Source organism: Homo sapiens, chromosome 7 (genome assembly GCF_000001405.40).
Source record: "Homo sapiens chromosome 7, GRCh38.p14 Primary Assembly".
NCBI lineage: Eukaryota > Metazoa > Chordata > Mammalia > Primates > Hominidae > Homo > Homo sapiens.
The window spans coordinates 12,357,967-12,380,225 of record NC_000007.14 but is presented as its reverse complement, the minus strand read 5'-3'; the positions used below and the strand labels follow the sequence as shown (position 1 = coordinate 12,380,225).

The following is a 22,259-nucleotide window of genomic DNA, read 5'->3' as shown; positions in this document are numbered from 1 at the left end:
ACTTTAAGTTCTTACACATATATGTCCCTCTCAGGTTTTAAAATTATATACGTTTATTCTAGAAAAAATGTTTTAATTTTTTAAATGACGATGTCACTTTTTAATTACTTTTCTTTTTTTTTTGAGGCGGAGTCTCACTCTGTCGCCAGGCTGGAGTGCAGTGGCGCGATCTCGGAGGTTGCTCACTGCAACCTCCGCCTCTCAGGTTCAAGCGATTCTCCTGCCTCAGCCTCCTGAGTAGCTGGGACTACAGGCGCCCGCCACCACACCCACACGCAGCTAATTTTTGTATTTTCAGTAGAGACGGGGTTTCACAATGTTGGCCAGATGGTCTTGATTTCTTGACCTCGTGATCCGCCCGCCTCGGCCTCCCAAAGTGCTGGGATTACAGGCGTGAGCCACCGCACCCGGCCTTAAGTACTTTTTAAAAACATCCTAAATACAAAGCCTACTATACTTTATGTTGAGGTTTGAATACGTCATATTTTATAATGATGGAATTTTTCTGAAATATCAAGTAAGCTTTTAAATTATTTAATTCTTTTATTATCTTTATATACTATCTATGAAGAATTAAATTTAGGATTTTAAAAGTGATAATTTACACGTTTTCTCCAAAATTGAATTTCTAAGTGATTATTTTTTAATTATATCCATAGATATTCTGCAGCGCTTCTGTCTTTTTCTTGGAGAATCCTCATGTACAAAGTGTAGCCATCGAAAGCCAAGAATTTTTTGCAGGCTTTAAGGTACGCAGCAGTGGGGATGCATCAGAAAGATTATTCCTCTGGAACTATGTTTCCCAAACTGTGATCTGTCCATGCTGGTTTCTGTACCTCATCACAGACTGAATCGGAATGTTGAGACCCATGAGTCCCCATATTTGAAGAAAAGCCCCAGTAATTCTAATGCGCAACAAAGTTTGAGGGGTCTTGTTAACTAAAGTTGAGATGTACCTTCATTTTTTAAAGAAATAGCTCAAATTAGAGTAAAGCAGAAGGTCTATTCCTCTAATTCATTCCATCGTGTAACGAAAGTTAGCCTAGTAATATTTAGTTATCATGCATTTTGGAAGACAGATACCAGGCCAAGTAGTAGAGTCTCTGACTAGAGTAGAATTGACCCAGAGCTATGAGTTTTATGGACTGCAAAGATTGAGCTAGCTAAACAGAGGAGGAGATTTGGTTGTTGCTGGTGGCAATAGGATCCAAGAACTGAAGAGCTATTCTAGCAGATGAGCAGAGATGACAGGGAATTAATAAGCAGTGGAAGAAGTGGGGGCAATATCAAACGGTCCAGGCAGGCAAGCACGGTGAACCTGGAAGGTCTCACCCACAGGACTCGAGTTTGACCTGGATTCATTTCTCGTTCAAGGACAAGATGAGATAAATGGTAAGATTGTGAGAATAGGACTCAGGACCAGGATAAACCCTGTTTATGAATAAAGTCCATGTACACACAGTAGGAACCAGGAAAAGAAGTGAGAAGAGTGGACCACTTTGTCAGAATTGCATAACTACAGCGTGAGGGGAAGCAGAGGTCAAGCTTTGAGAACACAGGAACATTTTGGTTTACATTGGTTAGCACTCAGCAGACAGTGTCAGGGGTCAATAGTCAGCACCCCCACCCTTGTACCCTTTCTGATTAGGCTAACAGGGAGAATATTCAGTATTAAGAATCATCTGTTTTGAGAGCTAGCCAAGACTCGAGACTGCATGGAAACATTCCTGCCTCAAAAAAGGTTTGGCCTGTGAATGAAGATAGGGCCAGTCCTGGGTTGCACCAGTTCTCAGGAAGTTCAACTCTGGAAATCAGATGCTGAGAAATAAGCTAAGTGTGGAGATATTTCAGGTGACAACAATAATTTGATTTATGTATTAAAAGTACTTAAATTTCTAATTGAGATGGTGGTATTAATCCCTAAGAAAAACCAGAGTCTTCTGTTGGTGTGTCAGTAAACATTAGCAATAAAGTGGAAGAAAATAGAAATATTTCTTTCTTCTTCGCTTTCCAGTGCTCACCACAGAACCAGAATCATTGAGGCAGGCTTGGATATGATTTGCCAAATGTGTTGGGGAACCAAAGTGAGTCAAACTCAGAGCAGTACAGCAGCTCCATGTACTCCTGTGTGTGCTGCTTGTATTTGTATAAGTTTGATTTTAATGGTCTTGCTTAGTTAAAACATTCTAGGGCTTAAGTTATTATTTAGTAAAATATGTGCTGTTGAGAAAATGCCCTTTCAAAACTGTGCCTTAGAAATAAATTATATTTTAACATAATTTTTCTACGTATTTTCTTATACCAGCTACAGCCTGAATTGAGCACTATATCAGAGGATGGGAAAGAATACTACCTGAGGATAGAAAGCACAGTTCCTATTATTTGTTCTGAATTTAGTGAGCTTGATCAAGAATGCAAAATCTCATTAAAACTGAAAACTATTGGTCAAGGTAATATACTAACTTTATTTTATCTTATTATTAGATTGCAAACAATAATGCTTTTTTTTCCTGTAGGAAAAGTCACTGGAGTGTACTCATATAATAAATCATGTTGCATGTTGACATCAAATTTTAGCCCAATCATATTACTAATACTCGGCCAAACTGACGATTGCCAAAGCAATTCACATTTCTTCTTCTTGGCTGAAAGCATACATTTTAAAAAAAGAAAAAAAATAGTGAATAATCTCCTCTTCGTCATCATCTTTTTCCTCTCGCTCCTCTTTTTTTCTCCTATTTTTTTCTCATTCTCCTGTTTATTCCTCTGTTTGCTTAGTTTACAGAAAACGAGGGAAAAACTGCTCTTTAAGATTTTTCAAATCATCCCCAATGAGAGACATTTGATAAGTTACGTTAAAAGTTCAAGCTTATGAAATATAGATCTCATAATGCATCCTTCAAGTTTCTCTCCCTAACGTACGTTTATGTTTGGGATCTTGTGTCTTAAAATTCTTCTATTTCAATTACTGATTATATGGATGTTGTGATACATGGCCACATATGTGTCAATGGATAGAGTGAAGAAATCCTCCCACATAACAAGATAGAATATGCGAGGACAAACCATGCATAGCAGTGATTGGCTTGATTATGTTCTTTTTCCCACTGAGCCCCTGATGTAGAGATCAAAGCAAGTTACAGATACATAAAATATAACCTTTAAGAGAGATTACAATTTCATTGGCATACCACATACATTTTCACCGTAGAACATTACATTGTCTTTAGTAAATATACCAAACACAAGGTATCTATAGACCTTCATGTCCATATTATAAATAATTAAATCAGAGAAACAAGAAGATAAAAAAGCCAGGAGAGAGAGAGAGAGAAAGAGAATCATTTGGAATGATGCACTCAAGAAAAGAGATGGCTAAAGAGATAGAGGAATTAAGAGAGGTCATCTTAGGATTGTTAACAGTAAGCAGGCTCAGTAATACCTACCTACTCGCTCAGATTTCAGGAGCACCACGAGCAACATTGTATTTTTAATTACAGCCTAGACATATTACATTATACCCTCTCTCGGACTATTTGACACAATTCTACTTCAAGTTAGCTCTGAAAAGTGTATTATGCAAATATTACTATAGTTTATGGAGAGAACAGAAAGAGGATGATGTTATTGATGTTTTCCAAAATCATGTTAGTCAAAGATTTTCTTCAGTTACAGGTATACTTTAAAATATATTTTCATGCTTTCAATTCTTTCAACAAGGCAAGCATTGCTAAAATAATATAATAATAGCCTAAATATATTTCTACATTTTAGAAGTTTGCATGCATGTTCTTATTCTCTGAGAATTAAAAATGGCTTTTGTTTGTTGAAGAAAAAATTCTGGATTTCATTCTGGATACCCCTCATCTTGTCCTCTTTAAGTACAGTAGCATTAAATCTTTACTTTCATAGGGAACCAGTTGGTGTCTGAGTGTATTTCTAAACAGACTATGCTGCTATTCACAGGCTTAAAGAGAACAACCCCTCATGTATTGGCTTGAGGAATGGATGTTATGGGCTATATCTAAGCTAGAAATATTCTGTATTCACCTTAGAGAGTTGGTTAAGAGTTTGAATGTTTCTGTTATTTTTTATGTGCATGGGAAAAGTATATATTTCTAAAAAAATAGTTCAGTATGCCTATATCTGATTAATATAACTTCATACCTAAAAAATCTGTATGGAAGAAAAGAAGATAGAACATTTTTTAACAACTTTTTTCCTTTTAGATTCTTAGGAGGACTTTGGAATCATTAATTGGATATGATAGCATACTTCCTCTCTGACCAATTTTGGGGGCAAATCTGTTCTTTTTGTTTAGTTATACAAATTCCTGGAGTTCTTTTCTCTTTTTTTGTTACCATTTCCTTTCCAAATTATTTTTTCTTTGTTATCGAAGCGAGGGAGCATCTCAAGGTTGTGAATATATTGGGACATTTGGGAGGTGAAAGAAGATAGCTTGTTACTGTTGTGAGATCATCTTCATTTGTTGTGATTTGTCTATTTTTTGAGATGATAAGCCCTTTATCAATAATTAAAAGCCATTGCTACTATTCAACAATGGATGGAACATGAACACATATGCTAAGAAATATTACAGAAGTATCTGGGCCCACGTTACAAATCTTAGACAGAAAAAATCATGTTAGTATATATAATATGTAAAATTATAATATATGTAATATGTAAAAGAATAAATTTTATCTATTCTTTTTGAATTTCCTTCAGTTGCATACAGGTTTATAACCTAATTGAAAATTGTAATATGTATTTATGTGTACATATGTATATATTATAGTTGATTAATTCTTTGTAAAAATCAGGTAGATTCAATAGCTTTGGCTTAATTTAGACAAAATTTGCAACCATATGTTTTAAGAAAGAGAAAATAATTTGAGAATAATCTTACAATTCAGTGTTTCATGTTAATTAATTTATTACATGCTTTGGTTAGTATATTCTCTTGGAAATTTTTAAACCTATTTTTTCATTAAATAGGTAGAGAGCACCTAGGCTTAAATTTGGCACTGTCTTCCTGTCATGTGGACCTTCTCCAGACATCTTCCTGTGCTAATGGAACCTGTAGCCACACTTTTGTGTACTACACTGCTGTCACAGATTTTTCTCGAGATGGAGATAGAGTCTCAAACATTGTAGTGCAACCAATAGTTAATGAGGATTTCCTGTGGAACAACTACATTCCAGACAGCATCCAGGTTGACAAATTACAACACTAATACTGCAAGTGAAGCTTTAAGAAGAAATGTGTATTTTATCATTATGTCTTATAAACTTTTTATGTAAAAAATTTTTTGGTAAATTAGTTTTTAAATGATTCAATTTTCAATAACTATGATAAAAACAATAATTAATTGAAAGTTTGTTGAGATTGCTAAGCAATTTTTTATATATCACTAAATATAATTAATGGTAATATTTACCAAAAATATCTTTGCTTTTAAGATCAAAGTAAAGGATGTCCCAACTGCTTACTGCTATACATTTACTGACCCACATATAATTACATTTGATGGCAGGTAATTTTCTGAAAGTTTCTTCTTTTAGTAGTTTTGTTTGCTTTGATTTTGTTGTTTTATTTTAAACAGTGTATTGTTTTATAATTTTTTAGTCCTAGTCACTGAAATTAGACAGAAAGGCATTACTGGCTTGTTTCAAGATACTAGTTTATTTGTGTAGAATTTTTTGCCTTAAAATCTAATTCTTAGTAAAAAACATGGATTATCTGCAAGGCTGAACTTGTAAAAATAAATATTATTACAAATGCAGAGAATCTTTTTTGCTAGACTCTTTAAATTTTTAATAATGATTAAATTATTTACTCTAAAGATGTTTATAGCATTTCCATATGATAATAAAACAATCTTTAAGTTTAGGCAAAATGATTAAACATATTAGAATTATTTTTAAAACTAATTACTCCTAAGTCTTGACAAGAATACTCAGGAAAAAAACTATTATAACTATTATGGATACCTGGATATTTGCCTCTGGAATTTAAAGTAAAATAGGCAAAAGACCAAAAAGTAATCTAAACTATTTTGTTATCAATACCTGTATAGAAAGATTTAAACTCAGTTATATCGTTCTGGGAGATTCATGGTTCTGAGATGTCTGTAAGGAAAATGATAAGAATGTCTTAGTGTTGCATCAACATTTTTTTCATGATGCAAATGGTTGTGGTTTGCTTAAAAAATTGTAATATGATAATTGTCAGTAAAATTATTCAATATATAGAGACTGTTCTATAAGAGAGTTATACTCCAATGGTGTCAACAGGTGTTAAGAACCTGAAGGAACTGATCTAACGGGCAAGAATCCTTTACGGTTATAACTAAAAGCTTAGACATTTTAGTGGAAAAATTTCGAGAAAGTGTAGTAGTGATGAATGTAATCTGACAATTCAACAAGATTAATTACGCAACAACTAGGTGAAAAGCCAAGTTCTAAGTACTGGGGGTATGGCAGTGAACAAAACAAACACTCTCTACCCTCATGGAGCTGGCTTTTGCAAAGGGGAAGAGAGATATAAACACATTTAATAAGTAAAATATAAAGTGTATCTGAGGAAGATACTTGCTGTGAAGAAAACTAAATTGGGTGGAAAGGGAAGGCTGAAAAGAGGGGTTGGAATTTATATTAAAATAGAGTGGTTACGAAAAGCCATTTGGTGAGGGTGACATTTAACAAGTACTCAAAGATGAGGGAGATGGTCACGTGCATACACATACGGGGAGAAGACCATTGAGCCAGCCTGCCCTGCTCAAGGAGAGCAGCTTGACTGGAGTGGTGAAAGGGAAGAAAGGAGTAGTGGGAGAGATTGAGGTGTTTATGACTACTTTGTTTCCTTCAGTGCATACAACAAAATGATCGTGATACATAAAGCTGTTGCAAATCAATAACATACTATTGTGATATTTTACACGATTTTTTAATGCAATTGCCTTTTGTTAATGATAGGGTATATGATAATTTCAAGACTGGAACATTTGTGCTTTATAAGAGTATGTCACGTGATTTTGAAGTCCATGTACGTCAGTGGGACTGCAGAAGCCTTCACTATCCAGTGTCATGTAATTGTGGGTTTGTTGCCCAGGAAGGAGGTGATATAGTTACTTTTGATATGTGCAATGGTCAGCTACGTGAATCACAACCATATTTGTTCATAAAAAGCCAAGATGTAACCAGGAATATCAAGATAAGTGAATCTTACTTAGGAAGAAAAGTCACAGTATGTATGATTCTTTAACATTGAAAGTATTTTTCCTTTTTCTCCTTTCAGATAAACATCTCTATTAAATTAGGAGCTATCATTTTTCAACATTAGTTTGTTTAAGAAAATAGCATTTATATTAACCATCATCTTAGAGGGAATACATTTTTCTCACCACACACAAATAGACACAACATCATTAAAACCATGTAAAATCTAAACTGCCTTATTTAACATTTCAGCATGACAACTTGGTGGATTATTCATTAAAATTACTTTTAACAACGTGTAATAAATAGTATATTAGACAGAGATGACAGACATAATTAAGAACAAATATTTAGGAATAATCAACCAGTTTTTGAAATGAATACAGTGGTAGATAAGTGTAATAGAATATGAAGTCAGGAAACAAACCTAAGATTATATATTCACTAATATTTTTAATTCTTTTTCCTTTACTCCTGGCAGGCTAATATTTTTTTAAAGATTATACTTCATATCTGTGAGTAAACTATTTGTATTTTCAGGTCATAGCCACCTTCCATTCATCTTTCAAACAAGTAATTCCAAGTAAATCAAATTTAAATTTAAATAAAAGTATTAAAAATTTAAGTTTCTGTTTGTATAATATTTACTGAAGTGAAAAATCATTTTTGAAAATATGTTATATATTTGAATTCCATCACTGAAAACCAAAATGCAAATCAAAAATTAGGAAAATATTTGCTACGTATAAAACAGGTCAGATAGAAAATACTCATGCATCACTAATGTATAATCAGCACTCCGATTAAAATGAGCAAATAATATAAAAAAACCTTTTCACAAAAGAAATCTGATATGTTCAAAAGTACAAAAACCAACAAAAATATGAAAACTTTAACCTCGTTAGCAGTCAAATAGATAAATAAAGGTTGAACATCTTTCATACAATATCAGGAAGCGTAGAGATAGTACATTTAGTAACAGTCTTTCCAGGGAACATATATATCATATATAACCTGCACCTATGTGTGCATTTTGCCAAGAAATTTTACTTCTGGAAATTTATTGTAAAAAAAAATAGTTAAGGATGTGCATACCCCCAGTGATGTTTATTGTATCTTTCCTTGTAAGATGAAAAAGTCATAGTTAAGTGGTGATCAATAAACAGGTTTAACTAAAACTCTAAATATAATGATGTCATATAGTAGAATACTTTGTAGTCATGAAAATGCTGGAGTAGGTGAGTGTGTTTATTGACAGGCGAAGATATGCCCAAAATATAAAAGAGGCTTTTGAGGAATTTGCACAAAGATCTTAATATTAGCTACCTTAAGTTGGTTTGGAAAGTAAAATTTGTTTTTAAAATAATTTAATGTAACTAACACAGACCATTTTTGTAAAAAGAGAAAAAAAGAGTTATTTTTAAATTTTAAGAAAATTAAAAGGGGAAAAACAACCAGAAGAGCAAACACAGTTGTGTATCTTCAGTGATTTTTAGAAGAGATAGCTTCTCCACATACACAGTACATCAAAGTGGCTGGTCTGGAAGAGGTGATATTCCTGTGATGGGAGAGATGGTTCACAGTTAGATTGCACAGGCTACTAGGGTCATTCAGCAAACTCTCCTTGCTCAGATTGCCAACTCCCCAAGCTACCTTCTAGTTATAATTTAGCTTCTGATTCTGTTTGTCTACTGGCAACTAGAGAATGCTAATTAGCTGCGGGAACATGTACTCCTCTGAAATTATATTCATCTGTGTAAATTAATTATTTGGCAATCTAATTCTGTATTAAATAATTATTATCAGAAACATTACTTGGCAAACATCCTCCTCAATATTTGTAATGTATTAATTGTATAAATTATCTTATTTTTGTTTAAATTATTTAAAGAAGTTGCAAGCAATATATTTCAATAAAAAGATCAGTATGGTAATCAAATTTCAGGTCAGCAAAATGCAAAAACCCATATTTTGACATAGAATGTTAAGAGGAAAGTTGTAGTCAAGAAAATCAGTATTTTATTCTTTTTTTATATTGAGGGAATAACTATTTCTTATTTTTTAAATAATAGATTTTTCTTAATCCAGGTTGAATATTGCTTCAACATCTTTTATTTCTGTATTTATTTCTGTTTTTCAGATCTGGTTTTCTTCTGGGGCATTTATCCGTGCTGATCTTGGTGAATGGGGCATGAGTCTAACGATCAGAGCCCCTAGTGTAGATTACAGAAACACTCTGGGACTTTGTGGAACCTTTGATGAAAATCCGGAAAATGATTTCCATGACAAAAATGGGATGCAAATTGATCAAAATTTTAACAATTATGTTGCTTTTATTAATGAATGGAGGTAAGACACTATTTTTCCACTTGCGATTATATTAATATTAGACTTAAAACGGGTGGTGGCTCAACACTCTGCTTTTTTGCAACACATATTAGGAAACAAATGTTTATGTACAAAATTACTATTCTTTCCTGTTTTCCATCTGGAAGGATTTTACCAGGAAAAAGCATGTCTGACACACTGCCAGTTTCTATGACATCACCTGGAAAGCCATCCTATTGTAGCTGTTCATTGGACACTGCAGCGTATCCGTCTTCCGAAGATCTGGACAGTGTTTCTCGATCAGAAATTGCCTTGGGTTGCAAAGACCTCAATCATGTCAGCTTATCTTCTTTGATACCAGAACTAGATGTCACCTCCGAATATATTAATTCAGACACTCTTGTCAGAGAGATAAACAAGCATACATCTCCAGAAGAATATAATCTAAATTTATTTCTGCAAGAAAAAAAACACATAAACCTGACTAAACTCGGCTTAAATGTACAAAAACATCCTGGAAATGAGAAAGAAGATTCACTACAATATTTGGCCAATAAGAAATATACACAAGGCCGGGGAAGCCACAGCCAAGAAATGAGGTACAATCGACAAAACAGATGGAAACGGCAGAACTTTCATGAGTTTCCTCCTTTGTTTGCTTTCCCGAGTCTCAGCCAAACGGATCTGGAAGAACTTACTTATTTTTTCCCAGAGGACCATGCTGAGGATGTACAGCAAGAGTTTTTCCCCTCTTGGCCCACTCCCTCTGGCCTCACCGAGTATAGCACCTTGACCCTCTGTCAGGAGACTCTAGCCAACTCCAGCATAGGAAGGCTGTGTCTTGCTTTTCTTGGCAAGAGATTAGACAGTGTTATAGAGATGTGTGTGAAGGATGTTCTGTTAAAAGATGATCTTAGTTGGGCAGAAGCAGGTGTGGCCCTTTTAGAAAATGAATGTGAAAAGAGGATTGTGGAGGAGGGGAAATATAACACAGAAGAGTATGGCACATCAATTGAAGACATTCTCTCAGTATTAAAATGCCCCAATTTATGCAGCGGCAATGGGCAGTGCATGGAATGGGGGTGTGCGTGTTCCCCAAGCTTTAGTTCCTATGACTGCAGTGATTCCTATGGTAAGTAAGTACTCTCAAAGTTTGATATTGCATGTGATATTTCATTATAAAAATGTGTTTGATCTTTATTTCACCCTCAGTATCCTAACAGTGTTTATTCAGATTTTATAGAGAAAACCTCCAAATCATATTAATGAACACATTACTAACTTTCCAACAGCATCTCATCTTATTTGGAGTAAAAGCCAAAGTAACTTATAACAGCCTAGAAGGCACAGTGTGATCTGGCACTCAGTGGCTCTCTAAACTCATTCCCTGCTACTGTCACCCTGTTGTTCCACTCCAGCTCCTCTGAGCTGTCCTTTGAAAATGCCAAGATCATTTAACCTCAGGGCCTTTACACACAACTGGGCCCTCTACCTATAGGGAATCATTATTTTCCCAGAACTCAAATTTAGTATTTTTAAAGCACTGTGTTTATATAGTTTGGCTAATTATACTGATTTGCTTAAAACTCTTTTTCTCTAATGCATCTATCTATACAGTATATTTTCTCTTAATATGTTAGACAAAGAAACTGTAAAAAGTTTTGTTTCCTTTAATAAGTAAACCAGTAACTCCTGATTTCCCTCCCATTCTTACCATCTTGCTCTTTTCCACCTACAGCCTTTTCCTTCTTAGTAAATTCCTCACATTAAAAACTTGTAGTCATTTTTGCCTGTCCTTTTCCTTCATGCCTCAAGTTTAATTCATTAGCAGCAAATCCAGCTCCAGCTTCAAAGCATTTCATTTCTTTCCCTGCTACAACCATAGTCCAAGCCACCATTATTTCCCCCTCAGATTATCGTAGATTCTCCCAAAACTAAATTTCTGTGCAGCAGGTGACCCCACTGAAATGTGAGTGAGATCATATTGCTCCTGTGTTTATATAGCTCGAATGGCTCTCCATCTCCTTCAGAGTAAAGTCCACAATCCCTACCATGGCGTAGAAGACCCTAGGTAGTCTGAGGTTCCTCTCTCACTGAATTCATCTAGCATTCTTCTCCCAGCTCACTGCTTTTCAGCCACACTGGCAGCTTTGCTGTTCCTCAAAGGAGCCAGGCCTGCTTCCACCTCAGGGTCTTTGCACTCACTGCTCCCTCTCACCGGAGGATTCTCCCACCACAGATCTTTATGACTTACTTTCTTTACTTCTCTGTTCAAATGTCATACTATCAGAAAATCCTCTGTGGTCATTCAAAATAGACTTGTTTTTCTTACACAATTCCATGGTCTTAATCTCTCTTAATATAGTTAATATAATTTTTTCTATATTCCTGAAAACAATTATGTAATATAATTTATATTTATCTTTTTATTTTTTTTTTAATCCTCCCATCTAGAATGCAAATTACATGAAGGCAGAAACTTTTGTTTTGTTCATTACTACATCCCCAGTACCTAGAATAGCAACAGATAAATAAAAATTACTAAACATTTGTTGAATTTGTGAAAGTATGGACTGAAGTAACCCAGGCTTTAAAAAAAATTTTCATCAAGATTTTTAAGGTTCTGAATACACGTGATTTTCTACCCTACTGCTAGTAGAGTTGTATTCACTTAGGTTTTCCCAGTAGTTAGGCAAGGGGTTTAATAATTTTTACACACTGCATATACCCATTTTGACAACCAGATGTTACTGATACAGATGACATTTTGAAATTTTAATACATTGCATTACTAACTACTATATTTTATTACAGAAATATTTTTTTCTATAACCCAGCTATATGGCACAAGCCAAAATGGCAAAACCAAAATGTACTTTATTGTAGTGGTAATTTCTTAATATTTGTCCTTAATTGATATAAAATATTATTAAACATTAGTGAAACCTGTGATTTTAGGACTGGTAGTGTTTGTAATATTATTATTGGTTTGATGGTAGATACCTCTTCTAATACCAGATTACTCTTAACATTTAATGGCTTAATTAGTGTTGTAAGCAGCATTTTAGGTATACTTTAAAATATTATTTTCCATATGCTTTTAATTTGGGGCTTGGAAATAATTAGTTTTTTTTTCTGAAATTAAGTAAAATATGTAGTATTTGTTATATTTTTTTTCCAAAGACAAAGCTCCTGAAATTACAGAGCTTGGGAATGCTGGATTCTGTGATGTTCAAAAATATAATTGTATGATGGTGAGAGTTTTTGGCAAAGGCTTCAAAGAATTACCTTCAATTAAATGTGAAGTTACTAAGCTACAGGTATGTTAATTATAGAGTTCAGAAACAATAGAGTGTATGAGATACTCAGATTAATATTATCTTGGATTAATTCGGTCTATCAATTAGCAACATAAATCCAAACGATATTATATCTAGAGAGCTGAACAGGAAAATGATTAAGTTACATAATGTTGACGCTTCTTTGTTAACTTTATTAAAATATCTTATAAACTTTTTATTGAAGTATCGGCTCACTGTTTTCACTTATATTAAAAAGCTAAAAGAATATCAAGCTTGATTTATGTAAGCCTCTGTATTTCTTGAAATGTAAAAACATAAAGAAGAGACATTGTTTTTAGCCAAGACATCTTGCATCAACTGGATATGAACATTTCCCTTTTACAAATCAAAAAATGAGGACTAATTGCATTTATTCTTTATATTTTCCTTACTATGGATTTTAGACAGAAAAGACTCACCTTTAAAAAATAGTATTTATCTTTCTAAAGGCCACAGAAACAGACATGATCAGTTTGAACGTTAGTATATCAACTTATACCTTATTTTTGATGATTATTTAAATGGTCTTCCTTGTCTTTATTCACATGGAAATTTTATTTTAAGGATGACTCTATGAATTTCAAAAGTATATGTAGGTAAGCTGAAAACTTAAGACAGCAAACCACATTATAATATTCTTCTTACTTTTTCTCTAAATTAATGAAGCCAAATGTGATTCTGAGATTGAGAATTTACAGGAGGAAATAGGTTTGTATGTGTCTTTATCAAGTAGTTAAACACAAGTATGCTAACTTCAGGATTTTATGGGTGGAGGCTTTCTAAGTAAGTCATGAAATATTTTAATCCCAATGAAGTAATAAGACAAAATAGAAAGGTACATGTAAGTAATTTTAATATCACTTAAGAGAATAGACATTGTAATAGTCATGGCAGAATAAATCATATGACATCACATGAAAACTAAGTGATGTGCCAGGAGCGAATTTTGTAGATTTATATTCTCTTGGAAAGCACATCTTGTACTTACCTTCAGATGCATTGTTTGTTGTGATTTACTCTCATACTACCTGCCACTTCCTGCAAACTTCTGATAAATACAGAGTAAAATCTGGAATCCTCTAACACACTATACAGAACTGTATTAGTCCATTTTCACAGTGCTATAAAGATACTACCTGAGACTAGGTAATTTATAAAGAAAACAGGTTTAATTGGCTCACAGTTCCACATGGCTGGGAAGACCCCAGGAAACATAAAATCATGGCAGAAGGCAGACGGAGGCACCTTCTTCACAAGGTGGCAGGTGAGAGGGAGTTAAGAGGGACGCTGCCACTTTTAAACCATCGAGATCTCATGAGAATTTCCTTACTATCATGAGAGCAGCATGGGAGAAACTGCCCTCATGATCCAGTCAACTCCCACTATGTCCCTCCCTCGATCCCTGGGGATTACAATTCGAGATGAGATTTGGGCGGAGACACAGAGCCAAACCAAATCAAAAACTATAGAAAGAAAGATGTTCACTTGCCCAAACTAAAATTAGAGTGCATATCCGTCTTTATTTTACATTGTGCTGAAGTTAAGTCTGTCTCTCCTAGCGCCAGTCTTGCCCAGTGCTGGGTTTTAAAGGCTCTTCTAGCCTTTAATTCATACCTCCAGTCAAGTCTGTTTAATGTGCCACTATTTTAGGATCCCCAACCCTACGAACATGGGCCCTGCTCAAAGCCTTGCATTCACTTTGTGTGGAATGTGCTCGCCCTGCCACTAAGCTAATGTCTTCTCCTAGCTCCCCTATTACATGTTCAGTCAACGTGAATCGATTCCTGCTCACCTTCTTAGTTCAAATTTCAGTTCCCTTCGAAGATTGGGTTCCTCTTTAAAATCTAGCATTTTGGAAATCAGGTCATGCAAAATCCTTAATGACTTCCCATTTTACGAAGTAATTTTTAAAAACTTTTATTTTGGAATAACTTGATACTCACAGAAAAATTGTAAAAATAATGCAGTTTCCAGTAATTCTTCACCCAGTTTCTCATAAAGTTAATATCTTATTTATAAACCATATTCATAAAATAATTATTCAAATCAGAAAATTCACCTCGATACAATACTATTAACAAATTTACAGACCTTGTTCTGTAAATTTACCAGTTGTCCAACTAATAATGGTCCTTTTCCTGATTCAGGATCTAATTTAAGATTTTATACTGCATTTTGTCATGTTTCTTCAGTCTCTTTCGTATTGTGACAGTGCTCCATCTTTCTTTATCTTTTGCACACTTGGCTCTTTTGAATATTGTGACGGTGCTCCATCTTTCTTCATCTTTTGCACACTTGGTTCTTTCGAAGAGCACTGGCCAGTTATTTTGTGGAATGTTCCTTTTTTATGGTTAGATTGAGGTCATGCCATGTTGTACAATTTTTAGTGCATCCTTTCATGATGCAATGTATCTAATCACGGGCAATGTAAATTTTGATCACTTACTTAAGGGGTTTTTGCCATGTATCTTCACTTTAAGCTCCCTGTTTTTCCCTTTTTAACTAATAAATACGTTGTAGGGAGACACTTTTAGATTATGCAAATATATGATAGCTCCTCAAACATTTTCTTCCTAATTTTAGCATCCAACTATAATTTTTGCTTGTAGCAATTATGACTATGGTATTTACCAGTGGTGATTTTCTATTTCCATCATTTCTTCTACACATATTATCTGGAATTCTACTGAAAGGAAGAGCTGTTCCTTGTTTCCAATTTATTTATTCATTTATTTACTCATGCCAGTGTAGACTAATGGAAACTTATTTCATGAATTATAACTCAATGCTATCATTCTTTATTTGGCTGTTTAAATTATTCTAGCTTTGACCATTGGGAACTATTACAAATTCGTTCACACGTCCTTTTAACTTGCTCCCATAATTTTTTGAACAATTTATCACATTCTGGCATCATATGATATTCCAGACTCATATTTTTCCTACCCCAACTCTAGAATCAACTGTTTCTCTAAAGACTGTAGTTCCATTTATCAAAGAGGGTCATTTAAAATCCAAGACTTGGGTGCAAGGTGTGCTTCTTGTTACAGGGTAGTTAATCCTTCTTGGCCCTTTTAATGGATACAGTTAGAAAATCTATGTATGTACACTTATACACACACGTAACTACCTATCTATCGGTTTATCTATCTGTCATCTCTGTGAGTTGATACTGATACTTCTGATTTCAGTGCAGTGCCATAAGGTTCATTCTAGCCTTCTCCTTTCCTTATTTGTAACTCTTTTCTTTACAAGTGAAAACTGGCTCTCATGATCCACAATATATTTACCTGGTTTCTCAATCTAAATGTATATGTAAGTCAGTTTCAGAAATTCTAAGCCTTTCCTCTGTAAAAAAACAAATTCATGAAACAAGGTCACAATATAAAGGCAGATACTGCTTTCCAAAGTGAGTTAGATTAACTATTTTCCACTCTGTTTAGAGTGGTTATCTGTTTTATTTATAATACAACTAGGTTTTAAAAATATTTGTCTTCCATTTTGAGTTTCTTCCACACTCTGGTTGATTATAATTATTTAATTATTTGGAGGGTATATGAAATATTATAGTTCTAAGAGTTGAAGCTATACAAAGGTATGCACATAGAATTGTTACTTTCTTGTCATCCCTGTCATCTGCTTTCCATCACTCCTTCTTTTCATTAAAGTATGTTTCTACTGTCATCATTTTCTGGTTAATCCTTACTATATTTCTTTGGTACAAAAAATGGATAGAAACTCTTTTTTTAATATAAAGTGTAACATATTTTACATGCTTTTTTCTACTTTTGTATTAGTAGTTTTAAGCAAGTCTTTAGCTAGAGATTCAACCACTTAAGCATTTCTTTCACTTCCTCCCCCAAAGCAGTCAAGACTCTACAAAATCCAATTTTAAGGTTGCTGATTTATAGGATTAAATACAGGATGTTAACCAAGAAATGGATGGCACATTATGATTTAGCTCTTGTCTATATTTGTAGGCTTGAACTTCCTGTTTATGCTGTTCCATGCATCCCTGTCTTTTTCATACACTATTCCCTCCATTCATGTGAATTGCACTCTTTCCACTTCTGCTCCCAGTGTCCAAATAGCAGTCTCCCTTTTTATTTTCAGGAAGAGAAGTGTTTGCTTTTTTGAAGGCTTCTTTGACTGTGCTAGTTAGTTAGACTTAATAACTCCTTTTGTATTATATCTTATTTGAGTCTCTTTTAATGCAATAATACAATTATATATTGTCTGTCATTTTCTTTGTGATCTTTTTTCACTGAGATATTTTCAGCACATAATATATACTCACAAAATATTGATGAATGAAAAGGAAATAGAACACTGTATATTCCTCATTTTGGGTAGGCCCCTTGAAATAGAAAGTTGGGAATAATCTCTATATTGCCAGTCATTAGCTGGAGCTTTCTTTCTGCACAAGAAACCGAGACTGTACATTCACCTAAGTGTAGATATCATGACTACTCTGAGAAATCATCATTCTTCTTCTACAAGAGGGAAACCACTGGTAGATCTGCTAGGCTAGACTCTCCATACTCCCTTAAATATGGAGATTTGCAGCTCACTCTTTCAATCATCAAATCTTCAAAAACGTAATTTCTGTTAGCTGCAGATTAGGGTGATCATGTTTTCCTTTCCCTTTCCTGCTGACCCACAATATTGAAGCATCAGCATGCTCTATGACAAATTCTGAGTGGTTGAAAACATTTGACAGTAATAAGTTTCAAAGAAAAATCTAAATCTAAATTTTGACAGCAAAATATAGCTTTTGGTTTCCTACGTAGTTATCCGTACCTGGAACATTATGCTGGCTTCTCTTCTTTTGGGACCAGTGCATTTTCATACTGAAAAACAATACTAAAAGTGTAGCTTAAGCATAATGTGTCACTGAGTTATTAAGTAGAGTGAACTAAGTAGAGTTTATTTAGTTTCAAATTACTAATAAACTAACTTGAGCAAAAATATTTATTATGAGGATAGTATATTTCTTAGAGAATCAAGAATAAGAAAGTAGCTGAATTCTCAAGAAAAATCTTGAACTTGGGACTTGAACACCATGAAGACTCAGTATGTGTGCATTTTTATGTGTGTGTGTGTGTGTGTGTGTGTATGTTTGTCTCAATTTGGCTTTTGTTTGTGGGCTTCATTTTCCTGTTTCACTATATACTGGCTTTCTCTCCATAGTGAAAAAATGGCCACCAACCACTCCATAGTTTTGTGTCTTGCAACTCAAGCCATCAGAGGCCAACTGACATGACATCTCCATTGGTACAAAGTTAAAATATCATGAGTATTGAAATATTGGCCTAGCTTAGGTCCGCCCCTGCACCAGTCAAGCATAGTCAGGGAGATTGGTCATATAGGAATATGAGAGACCCTGTGGGAATTGTGTAGGGGGCAGAAAGGACAGTTTCAAGTAGATGAGGTGATGGAAGCTTTTGCAGGAGAAATGAAGGAATTTCTGGGCAGAAAATCAATCCACTGTGTGTCATCTATATAGTCAAGTGTGTTTTGCTACAAAAGTCGTTACATAGTGATCCATTGTATATGACCAATATTGGTAACTTCTTTGATTTGAACCGCCAAGAAATGCATGATTCATTGGGAGCAATTTGCATCATATTAACATATATATGTTTTTCGTTATTCTGAATAAAACTCACTCCCAATGTGACTTTTGTTTCCCTGTTATATATTACATTATACTAGGCATATATTTTAAAATTTATGTTTTCATTATATGTAATTTACTAACAAAATATTTCCATAATTTAACAGAGGTTAATTTTTTTCTCACTATGTCTTCAGTATAATAGCAGTGAATGGATGCCTGGAGAACCCATCTATACACAGACTGTTTTCCACAATAGCAGAGCTGTTGATTGTCAGCTGCCCACTGATGTTCAGCAGTTTGATACCATGGATCTGGTGGGTGGGAAACCAACTGGGAAGTGGCAGTTGAAGGTAAAAAATAAAAAGACATCTTCATATTTATAAACAAAGTAAATACTTAACATTTCATAATGAATTTAGAACATTTAGAACAAATCATCTTATTATAGAACTATTATGTTACAGGTATCTAATGATGGTTATAAATTCAGTAATCCCAAAATAACGGTCATATATGATGGTGCTTGCCAAGTTTGTGGTCTCTATAAAAATGACTCATGTACTATAAAGGTATGTATTTTTTTCATGTATTTTCACATTTACATCATAGGTATTTTCATTTCCTATGCTGTGGGCACATTAATTGTAGTTTTTTCACTTTTATACCAGAAAAACTAATAGAGAAAAGCCTTCCTCAAGTTTATATAAGTTAACTGAAATTGTTACTCTGCCTGCAACGAAGAGGTTCCTACCTTTAACATTTTGAAATGGCAGATTACTTCTAAAAAATTGTAAGAGGAAGTCCAGACTAAATTATTTACTACTTCACTCCTACCTACATTGTTTTTTCAGTAGTAATAATGACTTTCCAATAAGAGATCTTACGTTACCTACTCTTCTTTGCATCAAGTGACATACATTTGGTTAAAATTTGTAAAATGTATAAAGTTAGTATTTTTATGGGGAGTATTTCCTGGCAACTAATTTTATTGGAGCATGTAAATACCTGCCACTTGATGGATTACAGAACAGCAGTGCAGCCTGAGCTGAGGTGAAGTCACAACTTCTTCTTAGTCTATATCCAGCCTTCCGTATTTATCAGAAGGGCTGTCTCACATGTGAACTGCTGACTTAAGAGACACTTGACTCCTCAAAGCTGAGGTGCATACAAATAATATTTATGTACATGAAAATTTTAAAGTATTATTTTTTCTAAGTTTAAAATTTATTTTCTTGAGATTAGTCATCAGATCAAATCTCTGGTTTTGAGAGATTGTTTGATTTTTATTTTTCCCAAATATTCCATTTCCATATATTCATAAGTACTTTAAAAATATTATTATTCAAGATTGTTTTCTCCTCCTGGAGCTATTTTGCTCTAACTTTTGTGCAATTTTCCAAGTGATATTAAAGGAGATTTTGTAAAATGAGCTAAGTTTATATTTCCTGAATAACATTCAATTCTCTCCCTAAGAATACTTTCTACATTTAATGTTCTTTCTGTGCTTATCAGCATCTCTTTCAAATGTTTGGTGTAATGATATCCATTATCAAGTGTGGATATAATTATGCCAAAGATCTGGTCTAGTTGGCTGTGTTCACAGAACACAGTGGGCTGCTAGGGAAATGGAAAATAGCTATAACCTAATGTGATTTTATAAATTGTGGAGGAAAAAAAAGAAGTTGGTTTTATTTCTTTATGAATAAAGCACTCCTAGGATGAGTTTAGCAGTGAAAAATACCAAAAGAGAGATTTTCTCCCATGTTATTTATAAATTATAAGCTATAACTTTGTAAAGATAAAACTTATGTGTACTTTTATTACCTCCAAATTGATCAGTTTTGTAGACATTTACGTATTCAGGTAATTTGTTTCCTCATATGCACTTACGATTATGAAGTATCAAAATAGATGTATGTGCTTTCGTTGGAATCATCAATACATACACTGCCATCCTTCTATGTACTTTTTTTTTTCTACACGCTGTACTTTGATGTTTTCTTTTTTAAAAATTTTCCATTAGGAAAATGTTTGCATTATTGATGGACTCTGCTATGTTGAAGGAGACAAAAATCCAACCAGCCCTTGTTTGATTTGTAGACCCAAAATTTCAAGATTTACTTGGTCATTTTTAGAAAGTAAGTTACTCTTTATTAATCCAAATATTTCCTATACAAGACATTTTAAAAGTGGTTTTCAGCCAGAAGTTACGTAAATGTGTTTAAGATGAATGACCTCTGTGTTTAATTTAGCATCTCTCCTAACTGCAAAATTTACGTTGAGGGTATAGGATATTTATTTTAATATTTGATTAGGAAAGGATTTGTGATTTATTAATGGAAGAAATGAGAATTATTAACTCAGCTACACACAATTTCCTATGCTTAGCCTTACCTCTGTTCAGTTTTCTGAAGTTATTAACCATTTAAGCTCAAAGGCCATGGATTCAGCACTTGTTAAACAAGGTATCTGGACTCAGTAATCTATAAAGTGCCTTCCAGTACTACTGTTGTGTGATGTCATGAGTATAATATTGGGTACAGATAATTTTGAGATACTTTGTTTCAAACAATACCCCAAATTATAGTCATGTACCATATAACTTCCTCACTTTCATAAATAGAGCTATGTTGGTTCCATATAGGTGTCCAAATTCTCTTCCCTCACAGGGAGATGAGACATTATTAGAGACAATAGGACACAATTATTCCCTGGCCCCATGTAATTTTATTTAAGGAAGTCATACAGCTTTATATTTATACAATGCTGTGTAATATCATTATAATTGTATGTGCATATTTCATTACTGTGTTTCATTACATTTGCCAGATGATTCACTGCTTAGGTTTAAGACTCATGGAATGCTGTGGGAAGACAATGGAAATTTGAGGAAAAATGTAGTGCAAGAGATGAAAATACAATACAACTTCTGAATTGGTGCCTCTGTTTTGTCAATGGCTATAGTTTGACTGATTGATTCATTATAGTCTCATAGTGTTCAAAGTCATAAAGGGTCATAAAAATGTCATGTCTTTTAAATCTCTCATATTGAGGATGAGGAAATTAAGATCAATAAGTTAGGCTGCTTGTGTAAGGATATGCAGGGGCAGAACAGGAGTCAGAGCTACAATCTCGGGGCATTAGTGCTTTGTGGATGCAAGCAGAATTTTTGTGCTCAGTACAATGTAATGGGGCTATTTGTTCCAACTGTTAAGCCAGTGGGCTGGAAAGGTAGACATTTTTTAATATAAGACAATATAAAAAGAGATTTTCAGTTGTTTCATGAGTGTAAAGGGAACTCTGCCTGTCCTCTAAAATAGCCCCCCCCACCTTTTATTTTTTGAGACAGAATCTCATTCTGTCTCCCAGGCTGGAGCGCAGTGGCACGATCTCAGCTCACTGCAAGCTCCACCTCCCGGGTTCAAGCAATTCTCCTGCTTCAGCCTCCCAAGTAGCTGGAATTACAGGTACCCACCACCATGCCTGCTAATTTTTATTTTTAGTAGAGACAGGGTTTCACCATGTTGGCCAGGCTGGTCTGGAACTCCTGACCTCAAGTGATCCTCCTGCCTTGGCTTCCCAAAGTACTGGGATTACAGGTGTGAGCCACCATGCCCATCCTGAAATAGCCTCTTTTTTAGTGTGTGCACTCAGCCACTGGAAGAACCTCTGAGGATCAGAAGATGAGTATGACTAATGGCTTCCACGTATTATAGCTGGGGAGGCAAGTACAGCGAGAAACGTTCAAA

At 34.2% G+C, this 22,259-nt stretch overlaps 1 protein-coding gene across 4 annotated transcripts in view; it reads left to right on the top strand.

Annotated features, from left to right (window-relative positions):
• The window catches only part of VWDE (von Willebrand factor D and EGF domains), a 72,981-nt gene that overhangs the window by 23,640 nt on the left and 27,082 nt on the right, over positions 1-22,259 (top strand). For 2 of the 4 annotated variants that reach the window (NR_144534.2, NM_001135924.3), the window contains exons 6-16: positions 660-749; positions 2,306-2,450; positions 4,999-5,216; positions 5,464-5,537; positions 6,979-7,249; positions 9,362-9,570; positions 9,717-10,681; positions 12,733-12,869; positions 18,705-18,860; positions 18,975-19,079; positions 20,534-20,648. Coding sequence is in view for 3 of the 4 variants with exons in the window: in NM_001135924.3 (NP_001129396.1) it covers positions 660-749; positions 2,306-2,450; positions 4,999-5,216; positions 5,464-5,537; positions 6,979-7,249; positions 9,362-9,570; positions 9,717-10,681; positions 12,733-12,869; positions 18,705-18,860; positions 18,975-19,079; positions 20,534-20,648 (2,485 nt within the window). In the remaining variant the exon portion in view is untranslated. The remainder of the gene's footprint in view (positions 1-659; positions 750-2,305; positions 2,451-4,998; positions 5,217-5,463; positions 5,538-6,978; positions 7,250-9,361; positions 9,571-9,716; positions 10,682-12,732; positions 12,870-18,704; positions 18,861-18,974; positions 19,080-20,533; positions 20,649-22,259) is intronic. The other 2 variants (NM_001346973.2, NM_001346972.2) reach the window with 1 other exon arrangement.